Source organism: Homo sapiens, chromosome 15 (assembly GCF_000001405.40).
Source record: "Homo sapiens chromosome 15, GRCh38.p14 Primary Assembly".
NCBI classification, from domain to species: Eukaryota; Metazoa; Chordata; class Mammalia; order Primates; family Hominidae; genus Homo; species Homo sapiens.
In genome coordinates, this window is record NC_000015.10 from 48,975,244 (window position 1) to 48,998,643 (window position 23,400).

The 23,400-nt window shown below is 40.8% G+C and overlaps 1 protein-coding gene across 2 annotated transcripts in view, besides 4 other annotated features; it reads right to left on the reverse strand.

Moving 5' to 3' along the window:
• Window positions 356–445: an enhancer, noted in NCBI's record as "active region_9381". NCBI's record gives its function as "activates an Ori minimal core promoter by ATAC-STARR-seq in GM12878 lymphoblastoid cells {active_cell/tissue: GM12878}" and the evidence as "EXISTENCE:reporter gene assay evidence [ECO:0000049][PMID:35858748]".
• Window positions 446–681: a silencer, noted in NCBI's record as "fragment chr15:49267886-49268121 (GRCh37/hg19 assembly coordinates)". NCBI's record gives its function as "represses an EF-1alpha promoter that drives an FKBP-Casp9 reporter gene in an ReSE screen in K562 erythroleukemia cells {active_cell/tissue: K562}" and the evidence as "EXISTENCE:reporter gene assay evidence [ECO:0000049][PMID:32094911]".
• Window positions 446–755: a biological region, named in NCBI's record as "ReSE screen-validated silencer GRCh37_chr15:49267886-49268121".
• Window positions 506–755: a silencer, noted in NCBI's record as "silent region_6421". NCBI's record gives its function as "represses an Ori minimal core promoter by ATAC-STARR-seq in GM12878 lymphoblastoid cells {active_cell/tissue: GM12878}" and the evidence as "EXISTENCE:reporter gene assay evidence [ECO:0000049][PMID:35858748]".
• SECISBP2L (SECIS binding protein 2 like) overlaps window positions 13,395–23,400 on the reverse strand; it is a 57,809-nt gene continuing 47,803 nt past the window's right edge. For both annotated transcript variants that reach the window (NM_014701.4, NM_001193489.2), the window contains 2 exons: window positions 21,124–21,343; window positions 13,395–17,683 (listed from right to left, as the gene is read on the reverse strand). In NM_014701.4, the coding sequence (NP_055516.2) occupies window positions 17,001–17,683; window positions 21,124–21,343 (903 nt within the window). In that variant the 3' untranslated portion in view covers window positions 13,395–17,000. The remainder of the gene's footprint in view (window positions 17,684–21,123; window positions 21,344–23,400) is intronic.

Here is a 23,400-nt window from a genome sequence, read left to right on the forward strand (position 1 = left end):
GATAAGTTACAAAGATAAGTCAGATATGAAAACTAAATTCATCCATATCCTAATTTAGCCACAATCCTTATTCACATTTTAGCGACAAAAACCACCTCAGGCTGCTTTTCCCCTATACGTATTTTTTTTTTTCAAACAAAAACAACATAATATTGTGCATACGGTTTTCCACCTGCTTTTTTAACAAAAAAAAAATCTCCATATCACTGAATAGACGATGTTACTTTAACAGCTATATAGTACCATTGTGCAAATGTGGCATAATTTAGCAAATCGGAGAGGGGGTGGATTTAGATTCCTACACACACACACACACAATAGGACAGTGATAGCCATTGTTGCTAAATCCTTCCATACAAAATGCTAATTGCAGACGCCAGATAGCGGGTATATAGGTGTATATTGTACCATTCTTCCAACTTTTTAGCATGATTGCAATTTTTCATAGAAAGATTTGGAGGAAGAAGTTTTTTTTGACATATCCTCTCACAGATCCCAGTCTGATTATCTCAGAATGAGCTCTCAGAATGAGCTCCCAGAGGTAGCATTGCCGGGCCCCGGGCTGCCTGTTTTTCGTCTGAAAGGCGGGCGGCGGATGAGTTTCCCGGATGAGCTCCGGCTGCGTGAGCTCCCCGCGGGCAGGCGCAGCGCCCCCTCGGTGCGGCGGCGGGAGCTGCAGGCCGCCAGCTCCGCGGCCGCCCCGGGCTGTGCCCTTCTCGAGAAGCCCGGCCGGGCGGCGGGGAGAGCGTCTGGTCCGCGCTTTCGCACGGTCTCCCTGAAAAAGACCAGCGGAGCACCAGGCTGCCAGGCGCACAGCATCAAAGCTGCGGGCGCCCCGAGAAGAAAAGGGCCAGTGTGCATTCCGTGAAACTCCAAAGCCCTTCTCCAGGCACAGCGACTCGGGGGGAGGGGAGAGGGGGCTGGAACTGCGCTTTCACAGTGTGGGCAGTCAGGCCCCGGGTGCCCCGCCGGGACAATAGGGCCTCAGTGCTGGATACTAAGCGGCCCGGGGGCCTAGTGGGAGCATAAAGGGAAGCTGTGTCTCCGCAGCACTCAAGTTCACCTTTGTCTTCGGAGTCCAAGTCAAAGAAGGCTAAAGAAGGAGCCTGCAGGCTCTCCTCCCTCGTCATGGGTCTGGTCGATAGGAAGGGCCAAGTTCTTTCCCTAAGATGCTGGGAATTCAGATGAAAATAGAAATGGGCTTGCCTGCTAGCTGGGACAGCGGTCAGTGTTTCTATCGAGAGCTGAGTCCTCTGGCCAGGACCTACGAGCAGGGGGACGCCAGTACAAATTACTGGAGCCAGCCGTCCGGAAGGCGCCTATGCACACGTGTTGTACAGCAATGCGAACTTGCCCTGGTTGGGGAGAAGTAGCGGGTGGGAGGTGGGCAAGTTTCTTCCCAGCAACTATCCGCTGTCCACACTCCGCTACTGCCTCTTCCCCAGAGAGAGAGGCCGCCCTGTATTCTGGCTGATAGCAGCAGCCCACTGATCAGTGGTGGAAGGTGACTTAGGCTACGGTCCTTACACTTGGCCTTGGCCGTTTTCTCCTGGAGTTGACACAAGATCGGCTGGCTGGGGTCAGGTCTCTATTGCCACTTAAGGGAAAACAAAACCTGGCTCTTGGCTGAATTGCCTAAATAATGCCAATGGCTTGCACAAGACAGAGGAGTAGCTGTGATTGAAGAGCAATTCACAACCCCTGCCCTGCAACACACGCAATCCACACAACCCAGTTGTACATCAATTTCCTAATCCTTCTCTTTGTTATAGAGGGTCAAGATAGTTAACAACAACAACAAACAACCAAACCAAACAAATAAATAAACTAACACACAAACTTTTTTTTTCAACTTTTATTTTAGTTTCCAGAGTACATGTGCAGGTTTGTTATATAGGTAAATTGCTTGTCATGGGGTTTGCTGTACTGATTATTTCATCACCCTGGTAATAAGCATAGCACCCAATAGGTAGTTTTTTAAAATTTTCTACCCCTTCCCCAGCTTCCCACCCTCCACCCTCAGGCAGGCCCTGGTGTCTTTCGTTTTTTGTTTTGTTTTGTTTTGTTTTTCGAGACGGAGTCTCGCTCTGTCGCCCAGGCTGGAGTGCAGTGGCGCTATCTCGGCTCACTGCAATCTCTGCCTCCCGGGTTCACGCCATTCGCCTGCCTCAGCCTCCAGAGTAGCTGGGACTACAGGTGCCCGCCACCACGTCCGGCTAATTTTTTTGTATTTTTAGTAGAGACAGGGTTTCACCGCGTTAGCCAGGATGGTCTCGATCTCCTGACCTTGTGATCTGCCCGCCTCGGCGTCCCAAAGTGCTGGGATTACAGGCGTGAGCCAGCGCGCCTGGCCTGTTTCCTTCTTTATGTCCATGTGTACTCAATGTTTAGCTGCCACTTATAAGTGAGAACATGCAGTATTTGTTATTTCTGTTCCTGCGTTGGTTCTTTTAGGATTATGGCCTTCAGCTTCGTCCATGTTGCTGCAAAGGACCTGATCTCGTTCTTTTTTATGGCTGTGTAGTATTTCATGGTGTATATATACCACATTTTCTTTATCCAGTCCACCATTGATGGGCATTTAGGTTGATTCCATGACTTTGCTATTGAACACACAAACTTTGAACTCTTGATCTGAGTTTTATTCTGACTTTACCACTTACTATGACTTTGGACAACTAACTTAACCTCATTCAATTGTGTTAGTTTGTGAAATGAGCATATGAAATCTGCCTTATAGAGTTGCTGTGACAATCAAAAGAGAAAGCATACTGAACATTCCTAGCATGGCAGTAAGCTTTCAAACAAAGGTACCTATTTATTTGTTTTTCAGATAAAGGTATCTTTTATTTGTTTTAAAAAATTTGATTATTCCTAATATTGTTCCAAATGGATTTGAGGCTACTTACACAAATACAGAGAGAGTACTATGACATAATAAATGAATGCTTTCAGGTTTTGTTCTGTATACTTCTGAGTTCATTATTTACAACAAGAATGTATTATTCATCGATTAACTTATGAAATAAATGTAAGAAGCAACTGATGAGAAAAAAACAAGAAGGAAATTAAGGTGAAAGCAGTGGTGACAGTATATAAAGTGTTTCACAGAAGGGCAAGTAAACTTTCTAGAAGTTTAGGCTGTCAATTTAATTCTGAGCTCCCAAGCAAACATGTCAAATGGGGGAACAGGATCAGTTTCATAATTCATGCTGTTCACTGATGAAGCCAAACCTGTTTCTCAGGGTCACAAACTATTTCTTTGGAAATCTCTCTTGAAAGTTTTTGTGAAAATAAACACTGCAAGAGAGATTAATTTAAGCAGTTAATTGAGGAGAACCCCGGAAAGAAAGTCTTGGGTAAAATACCTGTGCTCAATGCCTTTAGGTGAAGGTGGAGGGTGGAGATTTAGGACATAGTAGCTATATTAGTCTGCTCAGACTTCCATGACAAAGTGACACAGGCTGGGTGGCTTTAATCACAGAAATTCATTTTCTCACTGTTCTGGAGGCTGGAGTCCAAGATCAAGGTGCCAGCGTTGGTTCCTGGTGAGGCCTCTCTTCCTGGCTTGCAGATGGCTGCCTTCTGGCTGTGTCCTCACATGACCTTTCTTCTGAGCATGCTTAGAGAGAGAGAATTCTGGTGTCTCCTTCTCTTATAAGGACACCGGTCCTGTCATATTAGGGCTCCATCCTTATGACCTCATTTAATCTTAATTATCTCCTTGAAGGGCCTATTTCCACATACAGTTACATTGGAGGTGGGAGCTTAAACATATGAATGGAGGCAGGGGACACAATTCAGTTCATAACAGGAGCCAAAGTGGGGAGGGAGGAGTGTCACTAGAACATAGGGAAGAAGAGCAGTCCAGACCTGCCATGAGGACCTTATTTCCTCAGGACACAGCCTTATTCTACCTGGTAAAGAATGTGGAGCTAAGAGGCTCTTTGTCACAGGGTGAAACTTGGGCAGAGTCTGACAAGGGACCAACATGTGGCATCACTGCATGTCAACGTGAGGACCCTACTGACCAAATCCCTGGCTCGGAAGCAAATGACCTCTGTGACCTCGGGCCAGTAACTTAAATGCTCACAGCCTCAGTTTCCTTATCTGTAAAATGGGGCTGATAATACCTACCTTGTTTACCTCAGAGGGTAGAAAATTGAGCTACAGTGAGGAGTAGCAGTAATGAGAAGTAATTCCCAGTCTCTCCTGGCCCACCCACCCCCACTGTATATAAATATTGTATATAAATATTATGCACAACAAATAAAATGAAATGGTGGATGTCAAAAGTGCTGGGTAGACTAGAACCTGCCATGTAAATCAGATGTAAAGGATATTCTCAACAATGCCACCAATGACAGCAGTAGAAGCTATACACTCGGCATCTTGTCAGTTCCACACCCTCCTTGGCTGTGGGTGTGAGAGGCATTGCCTGGCCAAGGTCAGCATTCATCACAGCTGTGGCAATGGGAGTCCCCCCCAAGAGCACTGCCGTGTGATCTCTGGGCTGAAAAGAGACCTTCTTCCCCTCCATGCAATAATAACAGGCTCAACTACTTCTACCTCTGCTCATGGTCTCTTCCTCTCTACCCTCCGATCTCCCTCACAAACTGAGATGTTGGGAAGGCAAGAGCAGACGGAGATGGAACCTCACATCCTCTTGAACCAGATCAGGTCCCAAGCCAGGCACATCCCTTTCTCTCTATCATGGCTGTGAATGAATAATCAGATGTGTAGTGAGACTTTGAGGTCTGTCCAGCCACGGGGATAGAAGCTCCTCGAGGACCAGAGCTGCCATCTCTGCTCTGGCCCGGGGTGTAGCACAGAGGCTCGGGCACAAGAGGGCTCAGCACAAATCCGAAGATGTGTGAGCAAGTGAGTGAATGTCACCTACGAGGCGCCCCAGGTCCTTGACGTCTTCTTGGTTTTAGTGACTTTTCTCTGGGGAGCCAGGTGATAAAAGAATGAGAAGGAAATTGCCATTTCTGTCTATGCCTAGGAAGAAGCTCTCTGAGCCTTGATTTTCTCTTCTGTGAAAAGTGGGTAACACAGTTCTCAGAGGGAGTGTGAGCATTCAGTGAGAGGATGCATGTAAAACATCAACTACAGGGCCTGGCACGTGGCCGTTCTCATGTCATTGGAAGGCTTGCCTTCTCCATGTGCCACCTGGGTGCCTTGTACATGTTTCTACAGTGGCATTCCTTCTGTACAATTCTGAAAATCACCCTTTATTGAATGTCTGTCATGTGCCAGGCACTGTTTTAAGTGCTGTGCATTATTTCACTTGATCCTCACAACTCTATATTATTATTCCTGTTTTACAGATGAGGAAGCTGATGCTCACGGCAAGTTGAATAACTCATTCAAGATGAGATTGGACCCCAAGAATGTCTTACCTGCAGGTAGGAGTCTATGCTCTTACTGTCTTTGTGAACGACTTCCCAACCATTCTGCTGTAATAAATATAAAATATAAAAATATTTAGTATAACATAAATATAAAAATAAATAAATTTGTTTGTTTAGATCTCCTTCTTCAACCTTAAGTTGTAAACATTTTAAGGGCCAACACCTCTTTTCTACAGTACCCAGGACAGTATCTGGCACATAGTAGGCATACAGTAAGTAGCCACCATTTATTGGACATGCTATGTGCTAAACATGTCACAGACACTCTCTCACTTATGTATTAGGAATCACTATGTCCATTTGTCAGATGAGAAAACTAAAGCCCAGAGAGGTTTTGTCACATGTACATGATCAATGGTAAGTCTGTCCTAGATCTGCCTGACTGCAGAGTGCCTGTGCACTTAACCGTAAGACACATCACCCACCTTCCACCCGAATGAGCATTATTGAACCTTTCGGAATGCAGCTCCACATGGGCTGAAGTGGAAGATACATATGTTTAAGAGGATAAAAACTGTCCTTCATTTGTGTGTATGCACATGCACAAATACACACATATAGATGTATTTCCATACACATATTTATTGTTGGGATGTGCATAGATGGGCTCTGGAAGGCTGCATCTTTAGGGAGCTGCCTTTGGGGAATGAAGCAGAGAAGCAGGAAAGGGACTTGCTTTTCATTGTACATCTTTTGGTATCTTTGGAATTATGAACCGTGTGTAGATATTGTCTATTCAAGAACAATAAAAAATTTTCAAAAGACTGCTATATGTTTGGTGGAAAAGATACTGGATCCAAGAGACTCGGGTTCTGATCTTGCCTCTGCCACTGGATACATTTGAAGAATAATCAGATTTATTTTTAGTTTCTTTGTCCATAAAATGGGTATAAGAATCACTTCTCTTACCTCCCTCACAGGGCCACATGAGATCATTTACACAAAAGCATTTTTCAAGGTGTGAACAGCCTTGCACATGGAATACATTATTATACCATAGTGGTATCATTAAGGTCAATTCCTTGATCCACCCACTCTGGCAGCCTGAGGACCTCGTAAAGAGCAGCATGGCTTTGAGCAAGATAATGGGTGTTTCCAGGTTAGAAAAGAGGTTTGGAGGCTTATCAGACATCTGTGGACAGAGGGCCATGGAGCACTAGTGCTACATCTTTCGACAAAGTGTTTGCATTTCCTCTTCCATCACCATCACACACCTACAAAGAGCAGTCTCTCTCCTCTTGAGAGTTAAGAACATTCTGGTCAGGTGGCCAGAGGCGGGGCAGCTCCTTTCCAATGAGTGGAGATAAACATGGTGAGGATGGGAGACATGTGCTGGTGTTTGCTGGTGCTGCCAATTGCTGATTTCCGTTTGGGAGAAGGAAGATTCCAGGTGCAGAGAAACTGCAGCATCTGCAGTATCGTGGGGTGGCAAAGTTTGGCAATCTCTGCCTCAAGAGTTCTATGACCTCAACTCAGCAAGCACAGCTATTTTAGCCAGAAAACAAAGCTTCTCTTAGAGAATGTGTTTCGCAAAAGTAGAATTGGGCGTTGGAAGGAGCCTGAGGGGAATTCTAGTTTCTGAGTCTCAGGATGCAGGGACAAGAGCACAGCCTGGGGATTGGTGGATCTGGAATCCCAGCCCTAATATGCCTCCACAAAGCTAAGTGGCCTTGGCCAGATCCCTTTGCTTCCCTGGGCCTCAGTTTCCCCATCTGTAAATGAGGGGCTTAGACTGAATCATCTTTACGATTCTCTCCATATTAAAGATCCCCTAACCTGGGACCTCTGTGTTGGGGAAACATGCTGCCTGACCTGTGTCTCTACTTGACAGACTTGCAGAGTGTGCTGTGTTTTCTTATCCCTGTCGTTGCATCTGGAGGCCATAGCCAGGAGAGTGTCTGTTCTGAGACATCAACACCCCAGCAGCGGAAAGTGCTGCTGACCTGCCTTTGCACCGGGAAACCTTGATCCTTGATTCTCACACTGCCCCACTGCGGGGGAGTTTGGGTAAGAGAAAGACTCTGTGTGTGTGTGTGTGTGTGTGTGTGTGTGTGTGTGTGTGTGTGTGTGTGTGTATTTGTATGTGTGAGTAGAAGGGGCCAGGTAATTGGAAATGTGTACTTATTTTCCTGAATTATACACTTTTCTCCTAGAAACAAGGGGAATTCAACAACAATTTCAGTGTATGAAGCTGAAATGCATTTGTAGCAGCATAGTTTCCTATAACTGTGGGTTTTTCCTATCATTTCAGCTCCAACATGAGTTATGGTTAAGGGTTTCTAGGGCTTAGCTTGGGAATATAATGAGCACTTTAATATGGCTACTCTGGGATAATGTTCCATGTTTCAAGCAATTTAGGAACTCTCAGTACACAGCCATGTGTGAGATGGGGCAGCCTGTGTGTCTGTCAACTCTGCCAGGGCACTAACTCAACCATGGCCCAGAATCAGCATCAACCAACACTGATTTGATTAAAATATAATAGAGGGTCCTCAGTTTGTGGCTTAGTAAGTCTCCCTATGTCTTTCAACAGTAATCTTAAGAAGGGAGCTTCTTCTTTGTAGACGGGGGCTTTGTGTTCCATTCTCTCCAGAATTACAGGAGCTGCTCAGGCATTTCCAAGCCCCTTTCCAAGCCCCTGTCCAGTGATTCTGCTGAGGGACTTGGTTCCAGGGCAGCCATTCCCTGGGAGGTTGCTGGAGTATCCTGCAGAGGCTTTCTTGTGTCTGCTTCAGAGATGCTACTCAGCAGGGCAGGCAGCTGGATTCCATGTCACAGTGTCTTAGAAAACTCAGTCCCCGCCACCTTTGCTTGATTCAATTGTGTGATACGGCCAGACCACCGAATTCCTCTGGCCTCCTGTTCGCACTTGAGTTGTGCTTTTCTTGGAGTGTTCACTGAGCAGCCCTTGCCAGAGGTGCCTCCCTGCCCTTTTGCTCCTCACACGCCTGCCCACATGATGGGAGGAAACAAGTGGGAGACATGGGAGGATGTACTGGCACATGATCAGAAGCTCCAGGTCAAACTCTCTTCATTCTCTTCCCCAGGCGGTTGAAAAAAACACTTTTTAAAAATAAGGCCTATTGTATCAGGAAGACCTGGATGTCCCTGGCTAAGCCAACTCTGGAACATTAGAGAATGTATAAACATGTGACAGAAACAGAAGTCAAGAGCATTTGATAACTCACCATATGAATACATGCCCACCTTCTTGGGGCCATGAACCTATATGGGACTAATGCAGTCTCCCAGGATTGAGTTAGTGCAGGGCCTCTCAACCTCTCCATTGTTGACATTTCAGGCCAAATAGTTCTTTTTTGTGGGGTGGGGTCGCTCTCTTGTGTACCATAAGGTGCTTAGCGTATCTCTGGTCTTCACCTGCTAGATGACAAGTAGCCCCTTCTTCAGTTGTGACAATCAAAACTGTTTCCAGACGTTGCCGAATGTCCCCTGGAGGTGAAATTGCCCCTGGTTGAGAATCTGCGAGTTACAGCAGTCCAGGTATTCCTTATGTGCCTCATCCTCCTGGACCTTCAGAGTTTAAGCAACATAGATTTTGTCGCACATTACATGAAAAACTAGTTCCCCAGGATGTTCATAGTTCCTGCACAGAAAAAGTGCTCTGTGACTGAATGTGGAGAACTGTGTGTGCCATGGTCCAACATGTTGAGGAAATGCAGCCTGATATATAATAAATCCTTCCTTCATGGAGAGTCAAAATACATTAGGATATTGGAGGCTGTAAAATGTCTGACAGTAAGGAAATCTGTTCAACACTGCCTGACCCAGATTTTGCTTTTTCTTGGCCAAAAATGACTTTAGAGATTCCTCTTTTAAAAGCCAGACACCCCAAACCATTTGAGCCAAGCTCTCTCAATCCCAAGTCCAAAATTCCCAAAGAAAAATCCCATTGGCCCGGCACAGATCAACTGTTTCATGATTTCCAGACTAATCAATGGTTTCGGGGTCATTTAACTGCCTGCTCCTGTTGCAATTAAGAGATTATATCGCTGGTGGGTGTGTGAGGCATAAAGTGTTGTTCCCCAAAGAATGGATGTACTAACCAGACAAAACAACAGATGCCTAGTTAATAATACTTTAGTACTGATTTCCTTTCAAAGTTCTTTTTCCTTTCTTTATGCTTTTTTTCTAAATGCCTGAGCAGCTTCATCATCTTGATTCGTGTTCAGATTTCTTGGAAGCTGGTGGCAACCAACCTAAATTGCTGCAAAAGTTACAAGTACATGGAAACATTTTTTAAATTCTGAAATTAAAAGAGACAGTTTGTTTTGTCAATATTTCCACAGACTGGGCTACTGTAGGTGCCACTGCAGCTGGCCAGGGTGAAGTTGGCGGTGGATACAGGTCCAGAGCTTTCACTATGTTGTATTCCAGATAGTTGCCCCTGTGCTACCATTTATAGGTTTGCTACCATGAATTGGCAGGTGAAAAATAGTGTTTGAAGAGGTGAAGCAGCCCTGAGCAGACCAGGGGCACCACGATCAGCTTACTCAATTTCTATTCCGAGCAAGGAATGCCATTACTTTAAATACTGTGTTCTGGTTTCTAAGGAAACCAAATAAGTGGGTTGCTAACACAATCTTAGAACTTTCTATGAAGATTAAAGCACTTTGCTCTAGCTAAAGAGCAGATGGGAGAGTCATAGATGGAACCCATATTTCTCACTACTTGGGGGAGGGTTAGGCCAGGGAAAAGATGAAGGAAGAGTTTTTCATTCGTGGGAAGAAAATAAAATGTGTAGCTCTTGGCTATTTAACAAATAGTTGTTATTTGCTAAATCAATCAAGATAGGGGTTTAAATCTGGCTTCCAGTTCCATTTCCACTACTAATGCTTTTTCTGTTTGTCAATTTATTGAAGTCAGTGCCAAATCTGGGAAGTCAGTTATGGGATAGAAAATAGTTGCGTTTTAGTTGGCCCCTTCCTTTTGGTTATTCTTATAAAATATTTTAAGTACATAAAAAGCTCTATACAATTAAGGAAAAGTAGTGTTGGTTAAAGCACAGCATGGGCTAAAAAAATGCAAAGTGGTCAGTCTTGCTTTGTTACTTTCATAGCCTCTCTACTTTCTGCATACCTGCATACTGCACACCTGCGACACTCTGCTTTCTCTGGCCTCCAGTTCAAATTTTAGTGGGGGATGGTTGGGGGGAGGGGTGAAGCGGGAAGAACTAAGGTGATCAGCCTAATTGCCATGACCCATTCTGGGGACAGGACCCATCCAGGCCACTTTGAGGGTGCTGGCAGTCTTTGGCTATGGTAGCCTTAGAAAGTGCCCAGCTCACATCCAACTTATGACCATCCTTGACCAAAAAATGGCTTCACTGTTTCTCTAAGGAGCCAAGTTCTGATTCATCCAGTACATCCCCTGACAGAAGAGGAAATCAGGAACCAGGGACTTGCCCAATATTAGAGAACAGAGAAACAAGAATTCAGGCCTTCCCAAACGCCAGTACTGTCCAAGCATCCAGGCTTGCTTCTGGTGGTGCCCCTCCTATGCATCTGCATGCCTTCTACCACTGGGCAGAGCTTAGTACGTTTTTTAATATGTAAAACCACAACAAACGTATCATCTCTGGAGATAAAAGAACTGGGGGCGGGAATCACGTGAGTGTAAAATATTGGACATCATCTCAATTTTAGAGGTTGGCCAGAGAATAAATATTTCAGGCTTTGCAGGCCATATGGTCTCTCACCTCCGCATTGTAGCACTGAAGCAACCATGGACAATATGTAAATAATGTGTGGCTGTGTTCTAACAAAACTTTGTTTACAAAAAGAGGCTGCTGGGCAGCGTTGGTCCACAGGCTATAAGGCAATAGTTTGCTGATCACCTTATCTAAAAGATTACATCATTTAATTGGTACACTTTATTAGGAAAAGAGAAAATTAAGGAAATAGTTTTATCTTTCTTGGTCATCATGGTGTTTGAGTATTTGTAAAATAGGAATACAGTAATTTCTTACCTTTCTAATTACAGATGTTACAGGATTTGTTAGAAGCTCACCATTTTCCTTACAATATTGGCTTTAAGAAGGGGGAAGCAAGGAAAAGGAACAATGAGAGGGATGATGACCTCTAATATTTCTGTGATTGAGAAGCCAATATTTTAAAAGTTTTCTCTCATTTCTCTTTATCCAGAGCTAACAAACATTAACTGCTTTAATTTCAATTCAATACTCCATTCTCAAGCTGAGGGTTTACAAGGCAATGAAATTCTCTAACTCAGTTAAACAGAGAGAAGACTGAGAAGTAAAGGGTGAAAACAATTACCTGGAGAAATCTGCACAATGAAGTAGGAACCGCCTTACATCACTCATCCCCTGGTAGATGAGGATGCAACTGACACTGCCTCCCATCAGAGGCCTACCACGGGAATGCTGTAGCTATTATCTGTTCCCTCTGGGTAATTCAAAGCCATGGCTAGATGAAGCACTCATTCCTTCCACAGAAACCTATTACGCCAGCCTCCAAAACCATAGCACACCAGATCACAATTCCATTCTTTGGTTGGTTCCTCAGCAATTACATAAAGAACATCATGCTCAGCCAGAAGCTCCAAATTTCATGCAGCTCATTATCTTATTTGCTCCAATCCTCTGCTTCCAACTGAAACCTTAGATACAGGTACAGCCAGTTTATAGTTGCACAATTATCCAACCTATTTCTGCAAGAGTAAGGGTCACCTTGCTTGCCACATGATTGCTAAATAATTACTCAAAGTGTCAAAATGGAAGGACTGGGAAGAGAGAAATACAGAGATTGAGACTGGGTCCAGAACTGAAACATCTCCCATTTCACAAACCATACTCTGGCTCTGCAATCCACAAGGCTGCCATTGATGCCTAATATATAAGCCAAGTGTAATATTCCATGACAGTAACATCAGAAGAACCCAAATCAAGCCAAAAGTACTGACTGACTTGCTAATCTAGAAATTTCACGACCTATTCAACATGTCTAAATATTCTCTCTAAAATGAAATGATACCCATAGGCATGGTTCCCAGTTCTGAGCTTAGACTCAACTAAGCACCTTTAATGGCAAGGCCCATAGTTCAGGTTACTTCTCTTTCACCGTTTCCTGCTTTAAAAAAGTATTATTATTACATGTAGCTTTTGACTGTTTTCAGGTGCGATGCACACCCTCTTCTGGTTAGGAGAAAAACTGATCACTATTGGAAAAAATTAGGGAGTGGTACATGTACTGGTTAAAAAGGAAGTATCTGATACAACTGATGAGGCATTCTCCTTCGCTTTGTGATCACCAAAAAGTTCATTTCTTTGTTATGAAAATTAGTATCCTATTTTCTGACAGATGAATGCACTTTTTCAGATTCCCTACATTTCACTGTGACATAGTGAGAAGTCCTGGGGCTACTTAGGGAAAGGGCGATGAGGTGAGGCCCAATAACTTTAGTCCCCAAGGCCCTCTTCAGTCCTCCTGTTCCACATTCCCAAAGACACCTGAAGGTGAAGGAAGCATGTTTGCCTTGCACACCCTGTGCACCTTATGCCAAGACATAACAAAGTACAGTGATTGGGGCATGGGCTTTGGTATGGGGCTGGGTTAACATCTCCATGACTCTTCCATCATCTGAAAAGTGAGAAATAGTAACCAAAATCTACTTCACAGGACTGTTTTAAGGATTGAGTTAATACTGGGAAAAGACTTAGAACAGTGCCCAGCACAGAGGAACTAATATAAAAAGGTGAAGGAATCTATAGAAGCCTTCTCCTAATAACCAGGATGGTCTCTGGCTAAACGCCTGGGCCCATGCCGCAGATCACACCAACCATCCCAGATGGAGATTTTTATTCTTAACTCCTTCGTGACGATTTTACAGCCTTTTTTGGCAACTCCATATGACCACCAATCAATACTCAAGCTGGACTCTTTTTTCTGTCTTCTACTTGTGGGGAGTCATGAACTCTTGAAGTATCTCTTCTGAAAGGACAGATTTCATTTCAATAATCATTTTATTAGTACAGAAGAATCCCCACTAGTATTTACATAGTGCAAAAAAGCTGTTATTACCCCCCAAATGTGATATAACAATTATCCTTCATACAGCAAAAGATGAAAATCCCTTCATGTTATAACTCACACTAATTTTGCTAGTTTTTTATTAGAGCATTACAATTAAGACATTAAATTATAAACTTATGTGGTATATTTAGAAATTAAATTATAAAATAATACAAATACTTTCAAGGTGTGATGTGCCAACAAAATTTAAATTTTTCTCATTAGGATTCAGATTTCAGATTAGGCAAACAGTTTGGTTGATTCTGTGATGTATGTAAAGGTTGGAAGGGATGAGGGAGGAGGAAGATGTCTGTAAATAAATTATTTCACAGAATTTTTTTAAATCAAAAAAAGATAAAAATTTTTAAATGAGTTGATGTTCTAACCTGTTGGCCCAACATACAGAAAATACATGACAAGGGTGTTTTTTTTTTTTAAGCAAACAGCAGCTTTACAAACAGTAATACTTCTTTATACATATATTAAAGTAACAATGTGTTAAGATTGAACAGTTTCATGTTAAAGAGTTGAAAATGAGTGTAGCATTCACTACTCATTTGCACATTTCAATTCCCACCCCTCCCTCCTCCCCCAGCTTATTTAGAAATCAGACAAGTACATATTTGGATATTAATTTCTCAGTATTTAAACTATGTGAATTCCTTTTGACTAATTCTTTTCCAAATACTGGAATCATATAAAATACCATCTCTGCAAAAACAACCTCCAGTCAAAGCCAGTAAAAACTTCTCAATGTATAACACACATTACTTTTCCACATTTAGTCAAAAGAAATATATTACATCATTTACAAACATATTTAAACCGAAAATTAAGCTAATATGAACATCTGTCTTTTGAGAAGTAATCTTCACAGCAAACAAACCTACTGAAGCAGAAATCTAACTTTGGAAGTGTAATTCATATTTTAGTTAATATGCTTACATACTGAAATAGAAATCTATTATTAATTATTGCCAGTAAAACCACCTCTACACATTAAGAGAAAAAATCACTATGTTTTTTATTTCTTGTGATGATGAACCAACCCTTACTCTTCCCACTGGATCTCTTTATAGGTCTTCAAAGAGCCAACCATGCCCACTTCAAAAAATATATAAAAACTTTCCTAATTTTCACAACTCCTCCAAAGCCTGTAATTCAATATTCCAAAATTTAAAGGAAACAAGTTATAAAGACATTATTAATATTTATTTAAGCATGCTCTCAAAATGGTAACATTTCCTTTAATAATTCTTGGGTTGTCCTCTAGAGGTGACCTGTCTCATAAAAAGGCTATGGTCCCTTGGATTTGCTGGCAGAAGAGGTACTGCATATGCGAGAGCATTTACCGAACATATAAATAAACACTTCTGAAGTCTATAGCAAAACTAAAAGTTACCAGTGTTCTGAAGATTTCCTCAACTTCTCTTTTGATACAAATGTCAAAAATCTAAAATGACAATTCATGTTCAGAAGAGATATAAAATATAAGAAACCTGTGAAAAGCCATCATCTCAAGGTCAAGAGTTATCTGAATCACTGACATCGAGCAAAGGAAATTTACACCATAAAAAGTATGAACAGTTTTTAAATTCACTTTTAAGACTGTCAGTAGTTCAAAACCTCTATCATTTCTTTAAACCAACGAACACTTCCAAATGTGTAGAGACAGTAAGATCTGCCATGTATAAATCCATGAGTACTATTTCAGAGGCTTCATTCCTTACCTGCTGTGTTCCTTTAAATATTGGATATTTAGTGCCTAGGAAGTCTATACTGGAGAACAGTTTAGACAGGACAGTATAAGAATGTCCCCTTTTAGCACAATAATAAAGTTGATTGACTAACATTTTCTACACAGCTCCTGAACTTTCACAATTCACAAATACTAAATCATCAACCAAGAATCCAATCTCTCCAGTAATTAAATGCCAGCATTATAAAACATCAAAACTAGCACAGTAGTCCCAATGAGTTCAGTAAAGAATCTGCCCAATTCTTCTCTCCTGCCTCTGTGAGGCAAAGCCCTGCCCCAGATAATCAGGGCAGGGATAATACCCCTTCCTTCTCAGTTTTGTGCCTGCTTATGGAAGCTTGTAAGTGGAAAACACACACACGTACGGATGTGTGCATGTGTGTGAGGGGGGTGGGGGGGACAGTTGGGGGTGGTGGGGAGTTGGATGGAAGACAAAAAAATTACATAGTTTGTCATTCTTCCACCATTACATAAACTTGTAAAGTCACTGAAGTCCAGGTGGTGACTGACTAGCAAATAAAACATTTAGCTCATTTATTGTCTCCTAAGCAGGTATACAAACTCCTAGAGAAGGGCAGAGATAAATAATAGTGAATAGAGAATTAATACCTACATATCTGTATACTCTAAATCATCTAATAGTTTCAGCACAATTAGAACAACTTTCTCTTATCTTCTAAAACTTCCTCCTCTAAGCCTTGATTATCAGGATACATGTCACAAGTTGTGCAAAGTTCCTTTCCTTGACCTCCTGACAGTAACTATGGTCATTGCTATGTGGAAGGTGCTCAAGGCTAGGTGCAAAATAGGTATTTTTTAAAAGGTGAAACAGTTTTGCACTCAGGACAAGTTTGGATACTCAATCAAATCCATATCTCAAATCAAGAGTCCTGAACCAGAAGCATGCAAGAGAACACACCAGTATAAGACTCTGTTTCTGAAGAGTTTACATGTAAGTGCAGCAGTCATACAATCGGTTACAGTTATTCACCTGTCAACATGTGCCTAGCTTTTTGTAAATAAGTCTATGTACAAGAGCATTCCTGAGGTAAGTAAGAAGCAAATATGAGACAGAACCTGGAGGTCCTATCATGGGTGACTGTTCACTATTATAGACAGCATCTATCACTTTCCACAAATGAGGCTAGCTAGCTATAATCTAAGATGGTGGCTCCACTGCTAGCCGAAGTTTTGAAGGCTCTGTTTTAGCCCATCCCAACACTAATTAATTACAATAATCAGTGACTTCTGACTAAACATTTGTGGACCACATAAAAGTTGCATTGATTTTTTAACATACAACACTGGTGGACTTAGTTACCCTCAGCCTTTCATTTAATTTTCTGACTCCACCCCCAGTTCTTTTTTAAAGAAGCCCAAACAATTTTTTGGTCAAATTAGAGTAGAGGAGGTGGAGTCCTGAAGCAAACACTGATAACTGCTTCTATCCTTAGAACCTTGTTCTTTAACTTTCAAAATGTCTTTTAAGTAAGCATTTGAAATTTATTTTCTTTAAGATCTGGTCTTCTTTTTATCACTGTTTTTGATTACAAAATAAGCTGAAACAGATCTGAATTTTCCACACAGTTCTTAGAAAGACACTTAGATACTAATTAAAAGCTAAGCTACAGATCATAACAAGTAAAAGCTACAAAAATATTTGTTGGGAATTAAATACGTATATTAAATACTGGACAGTGCAAAATGTTGAGATGAAGCATAAAAGGTAATGGCTGCAACCCTTCCACAGCTGGAGATAGAGAGCCGACATTTCCTGAGTTACGTAGTTTGCGTTGTGTAATTAGAATCAGAGTGCTCTTTGTTGAGCGAGCTGCAGTTGCTGGACTTCTGCTGCCCAGGACTGGCCTGCTGGTCAGCAGTCCATGCCTCACTGTCCATCCCTGGCTCCAGCACCTCAGGCGCCTCTGCTTCCTCTTCTCCACTTTGCTCTACATTGTCTTCCTCAGAACCATTAAGGGTTTTTCCAAGCTGAAGGGTTTCCATAGTTCTCTGGGTCTCTGAGACCCAAGACTCAATTCTACTATTGAGCTGCACTTCTACAGATATGGGTTCATGAGTATAATCTTCCTCCTCCTCCTCATCTTCATCTTCTTCTTCTTCAAGCATGCCAGGTACAAGAGTGCTGGTGGTGCTGGTGATGGAGGAATTCAAAAGATCTCGGCAACTGCCATCCAAAGAGCCAGTCTCTGTACTCTGCTGTGAGGCCCATTCCAGGTCATCTGGCTTCACTTCCTCTTTATCACTTGCTGTGGATTTCCCAGCACTTGTAGCTGAGGTAGTACTGCCTGTAGCCACTAATGATGGCTGCTTACCAATTGGGGGTGTGTCAAATGGAAGTTTACTGGGTTTTTCAGAAGTGCTGTGCTTACAGGATACCTCTTTCTCATTTTCTGATGCTTCCAGTCCATCTGAAGTTTCCACCATGTTTCTCCAATTTGTTTCTACAAGTATCAAGCAGATTTTTTAAAAACCAGAACACTGTTTCAAAATCATGCAACTCTTTAAAAACCCCCAAAAAAGAAAGAACAACAAAATATATAAATTTGTTGGCTTAGAAACTGACTGGAAAAACTACAAATTTAGTTTATTTAGTACTAGTTTGAGACAGAGAGAGAGTGTGTGTGTGTGTGTGTGTGTGTGTGTGTGTGTGTGTGTGTTTCAGATGGGGTCTTGCTCTTTTAGGCTGGAATGCAGCAACATGATCTTGGCTCACTGCAGCCTTGACCTCCTGGGCTCAATCTATCCTCCTATCTTGGGCTCCCAAAATGCTGGGATTACAGGTGTGAGCCACTGTGCCCAACCTAATTTAAATGTTATAAAGGGAAAATAATTCCCAAAAATGTACATTCAAGATAAAGAAACAGGGAGGTAAAAATAAGTATATTAACGCTTCAGAATGCAAGAGATCTTATACCAATAGGAGCTCACTGGCATTCACAAATAAAATCCATATATTCATGAAAATCAATAAACTGCCTAACTTTTTGGTAGCCTAGAGGTGTAATGGGCTCAAGGACCCACAACCCAAGAGATAGAAGAGCCAAGATGTCCAGCAATAATAGTTCTGATTCATGTGTTTGTACCATGCTCACTCAGCAAGTTATTTAAATTATCTTTTGGCCTGTAATGGGACATGTGTTTCCAATTATAAGCAAAGAATCCATCCATGCATTTCTAACATCTGTGAAAGGTTGTTTTATAATATATATATATATATAGCTTGGCTTACAAAGTGATTTTGGAGGACAAAAAAAGTATTATATACTACAGTGATGACAAACTAAATTATTTCTCATGATAGGAAATCAGTTGAAGGCAAAAAAAGTACCAAGAATCAGTAAAGATCTCTCACCCCTGTATTTTTTCAAATTTTTTTAAAAAATAAAAATTCTATCATATTGACATTACAGCTACTATTTGCAGTTTATAGGTATAATATTCTTATCAAGTTGTAGCAAACCTATTCACATTAGTATGTTCAATATGGTCACCATCTATGGCCTATATATTGATATAGAACATGTTTTGGGCACTTCAAGTCAGGATACATTGTTTGGGAAAAAATTTCTTTCCTGAAGCTACTTTAGTGTAGAATGAGTCCTTTCCACTGTCATTTCTACCTTATGAAAAAAAAAAAATCACCTCCTCCTATATTCTCATTCTCAGCTAATGACATTATCATTTACACAATCTCAAAGCAGAAGACACCTTATAGTAACACTTGATCCTACTTTTCTCTCTTATTAGTATTATATCCCTTTAGTCCACTGAATTCATCACTATACCATGACACCTGTAGCTCAAAAACTACTAAATCTGTTTACTACTCCCTTAGCTCAGGCCTTCTTTTTCTTGCTGTTCATTTGTAACATCTTCGTAACCGGTTTTGTGAACTGATTATATCATTGTCTAACTGGCTTTTTATCACCCTAGGATAGAATCCAAAATCCCTGGCGTGGCACAGCAAAGCCCTTCATGATCTGGCCCTTATCTATCATTCTGGTCCTACTGCCTTCTGACCCTGCGCCATAGGCCACACACTCCATGCTCAGTGTCATCTAAATTCTCACTGTTCCCTAAAGTTGGAACATCAGCTGTACTCTTTCTGCAGATGTGTTTTCCTCCTTTCCCCTTCAGACTCCTATTCATCTTGATAACCACTCTTAAATGTTAGTTCCTTCATGAAGTTTTTCCTAACTCCTGACAGGCAATCGCTAACCTGAACTCCCACAGTACTTTTTACATATACAGTCAAAAGCCTTGTTTTGTGTTTGCTGTTTCACCTTCCTCATCCCTCCTCACTTCCACTCCAGCTCATCTCTGTGTCCCTATGACTGGTATATAGTAAGTGCTGGGGAAAAAAAAAAAAAAAAACAGTCTAGTAAGTGAAAATTTTCCCACATATATTTAATTATGAAAAAAAATTTTAAAGGCACAAAATGTTTAAAAATTTTAGATGCACATTAACATTTCAACAGTTTTTTTTTCTAAGGAGAAATCCAAGACCCCGAGATTAACTGATTACACCTAAAACCTTTAGGCAGAGTATAGAAAAACCAAGGCTTCAATCTTTGAACACTTTGAATCTGGTGCTTTCTGAAAACATCACCTCAATCTCTGAGACTTTCGTTTTATACTACTTGTGTTTATATGTGCCCATATCATTTGTTACTCTGTCATCTGTCCAAACCCACAGCTTTACAGGTTTCTCTTATGGCTTGCCTTTGAGATGCGGCATTTCACTATATAGAGAGGATCGTGCTCATTTACAATGTTAGCACTTTCCCTTTATCTTCTTAATTTTCAACTAGTATCACTCCTGCAAAAGAAACATGTCTGCCTCTAAACCAGTATCACCCATCCCTGGCCAACAGTTTCCTAAGGGCCCACAACAGCTTGTTAATTGCCTCTGCTCTGGAGCTTTACTGAAAGCATTCCAAACATCTAACTACAATCACAGACAGGGAGGCCAGGAAGGAGAATATGGGAAGAAAATGAGGGCTCAGTTTTTTTTACACGTTAAATTTTAGGTGGCAACAAGCTATCTGATAACCTCCCAGAGAAAAGAAAAAAAGAACGAACAAAGAGCCAAATGAAAGAAGGTGGCTATACTATTTAAAATTTTAAAAAAAGAAGAAAGGAAGTTACATAGGGAAAACAAATCATAAACTAAACCAAGAAAGAGAACTCAAGAGCTCAAAGTATTATAGAAATAAGGCAAAGAAACTACTGAGATGTAGACTTCAATAAATAAATGTTAAACATTAAATACTATTTTTTAGTCTGTATCTCTTCTTGATTACAATCAGACTACTTAAGGCAAACAGCATGCTAGGTTTTATAAGCCTAGAGTGAATATTATTCACGTCTGTAGTTTACTTAGTAAATACAACATTTAAAGTTTTTTTAAATTTATTTTTTTCTTTTTAAGACTATAGTCAAGTGCAGTAGTGAAAAGGGGGGAAAGAGCAGAACAAAGAGATTGATCTATAACTGACTGTGAACAAATTAGATAACTCACTACCTTCAGACCAGCCCTTAGGAAATATAAAATTTTAGTAACTGAGCATAAAGTATTGGAATAAAACTTCCTAATGTTTAGTTAGTGATAGGTCACAAGTATGGTGTGTTTTGCTTTTTAAAGCCCCTGAGGCTTTTTATAAAGATTTGGAACTGTGATTAAATTCTGGGGTCTCATAAGAAGTCTCAGTCCCAAATATTCTCCTGATTTTTAATGAACATGTTTAATGCAATGTTTTAAACCAAATTTCGAGCAACATTTGAATAATCAAGAATAAAGATTAAAAATAAAAGGTAGAATAGAAAGTCATTTAAATCATCTCATGGTTTAAGTCATTTAAAATAGTATTCAACAACTTACCATATTCCTTTTCATTTACTTCAGAGATCGGTTCAGAAATAACACTGCAGAAAGAAATGGCACTTGCTGCAGAGGGATTCCGAGAATGTCCCATGTGGTGTGGTACCTTCTTCACATTCTTTAAGGCTTCCTCAGCCTGCTCCTGTTCCATTGCTGCAACCATATCTTTATATGCTTTCCTGGCCTCCTCAGTGAGTTCTACTAATTTATTAAACAGGCTCTGAAAAGAAAGAGTATTTTGATTAATCCATTTTTTTGTTACACTTTTTATTCCTATTATGGATAATAAATATCTCTACTGTTTGTTTCAGGGTCAGACACTTTCAATGAGGACAAAATCCAAATGGTATGCAAACCACAGAACCTTATGAAATTACTCTGTAACTTACATTTACTGTTTATTTAATTCTCACAAGTCAAGTCTGAGGAAATTTCTTGATTCCAACACTAGCCACTAAATGTGATATATTAAAAGTTCTTACACTATTCAACAAGTGTACTCTTCCTTTAGTGTCTGCCACTACAGAGGGTACAAAGATGACTGAACATCAACTCTACTCTCAAGGAACCTTCTATGTGGCTAGAAAAAGATGGTAAGAGACACCTATAATGCAAGGCATAACACCTTACATGCCTTGAGAGGTGTAAAGTGTTATGGCTTTAGTTGAGGCATCAACTCTAAACTGCTGGGCATCACTGAGGAAGTCATGAAGGGAAGATGACATCAGCATTGGCCTTGAAAAAGGTACAATTTTGAGGGGTGAAATCAGGGCCTTCAAAGCCAAATATGCAAAATCATTAATAAAGCTACAGACATAAGAAAAGTATAAGGCTTGTTAGGGGAGCAGTAAAGATTTTATCTGGGTTAGAATATAAAGGAGTGAGTGTATTCTGAGTGATGTTCAGGAATGTAGAAGAAGATGGCAGTCTCTATAGGAATTAAATTTTTCTGTAATGTTTACTTTTTGGAATAACTAGACGAAGACCAAAAGTAAGTTGGTGATAATATGGAGAGCTAGGACCTTGAAGATGATGAAAAGATAACACAAGATAGAAAAGCATGACTACTGGGCCAAATGCAAATTAGAATATAGAGCTTGGAAGTAGAATATGGAGCTAAAAAACCAGATGTTCTTTCATTGCTGAAACAAACATAGGAACAAAATAAATAGTTTCCGTGAAGTGGTAGGTACACTGAGCATATTCACATCTAATGAGATGGCAAAATTCAGCTGGGCACAGTGGCTCATGCCTGTAATCCCACCACTTTGGGAGGCCAAGGCAAGAGAGGTCAGGAGTTTGAGACCAGCGTGACCAACATGGAGAAACACCATCTCTACTAAAAATACAAAATTAGCTGGGCGTGGTGGTGCATGCCTGTAATCCCAGCTACTCGGGAGGCTGAGGCAGGAGAATCACTTGAAACCGGGAGGTGGAGGTTGTGGTGAGCCGAGATCATGCCATTGCACTCCAGCCTGGGCAACAAGAGTGAACCTCTGCCTCAAAAAAAAATAATAAGATGGCAAAATACATATAGCATTAAAGTTGCACTTCAATAACCATGATACCGAATGATGTCCAAAGATTTAAGTTTCTACAGCCACCAGAAGGCCAATCTATATGACTTTTAGTTATGCCATAATTCTATAGCATCCCATTCCTGTTAAATGTCCAATTTAGTATCACAATGCAACATACTCACAACATTAAGAATTTCAAAGAATTAAACATAACCTGGACATTTTTGAGAATCTGTTTAATTTTATAGTAAGTACAAACCTTGAGATGAAAGCATGGCAAAAAGTGCTACATTGCTGTAGAATAATAAGTCTCTGAAGATTCATCTCAAGAGGGAAAAATATAAGTAGCATCCTTTATCCAGCTGCATTTTAAATTGTTTAAAATAGCAGGTATAATATAGGATGCTGCTAATTGTATTGATTTTTGAAGAGTGGTGGGTGTTACCTATTAGTAGTGTAAAAAATATAATCAGGATTTATTATTTTTAAAAAGGAAGGACAAATTCTGTTAAAAACAAAAAACAATAGCCCCTATGTGGTTACATGTAACAGGCTTGACAAATATTTTCAGTGTTTAACAAACCATGCACTGAAGTGAAAACAATAAAAAGAAAATATGCAAATGGATATGTGAGTTTAACATTGGTTTTACAATATAAAAGAAAGAAAGAAATTGTTAGGAATAAAAGAATATAAGGAAAGAGAAGAAAAACTGAAGAGAGATGCTAGGATCAAGGAATTAAAGCCTTGAATGTGA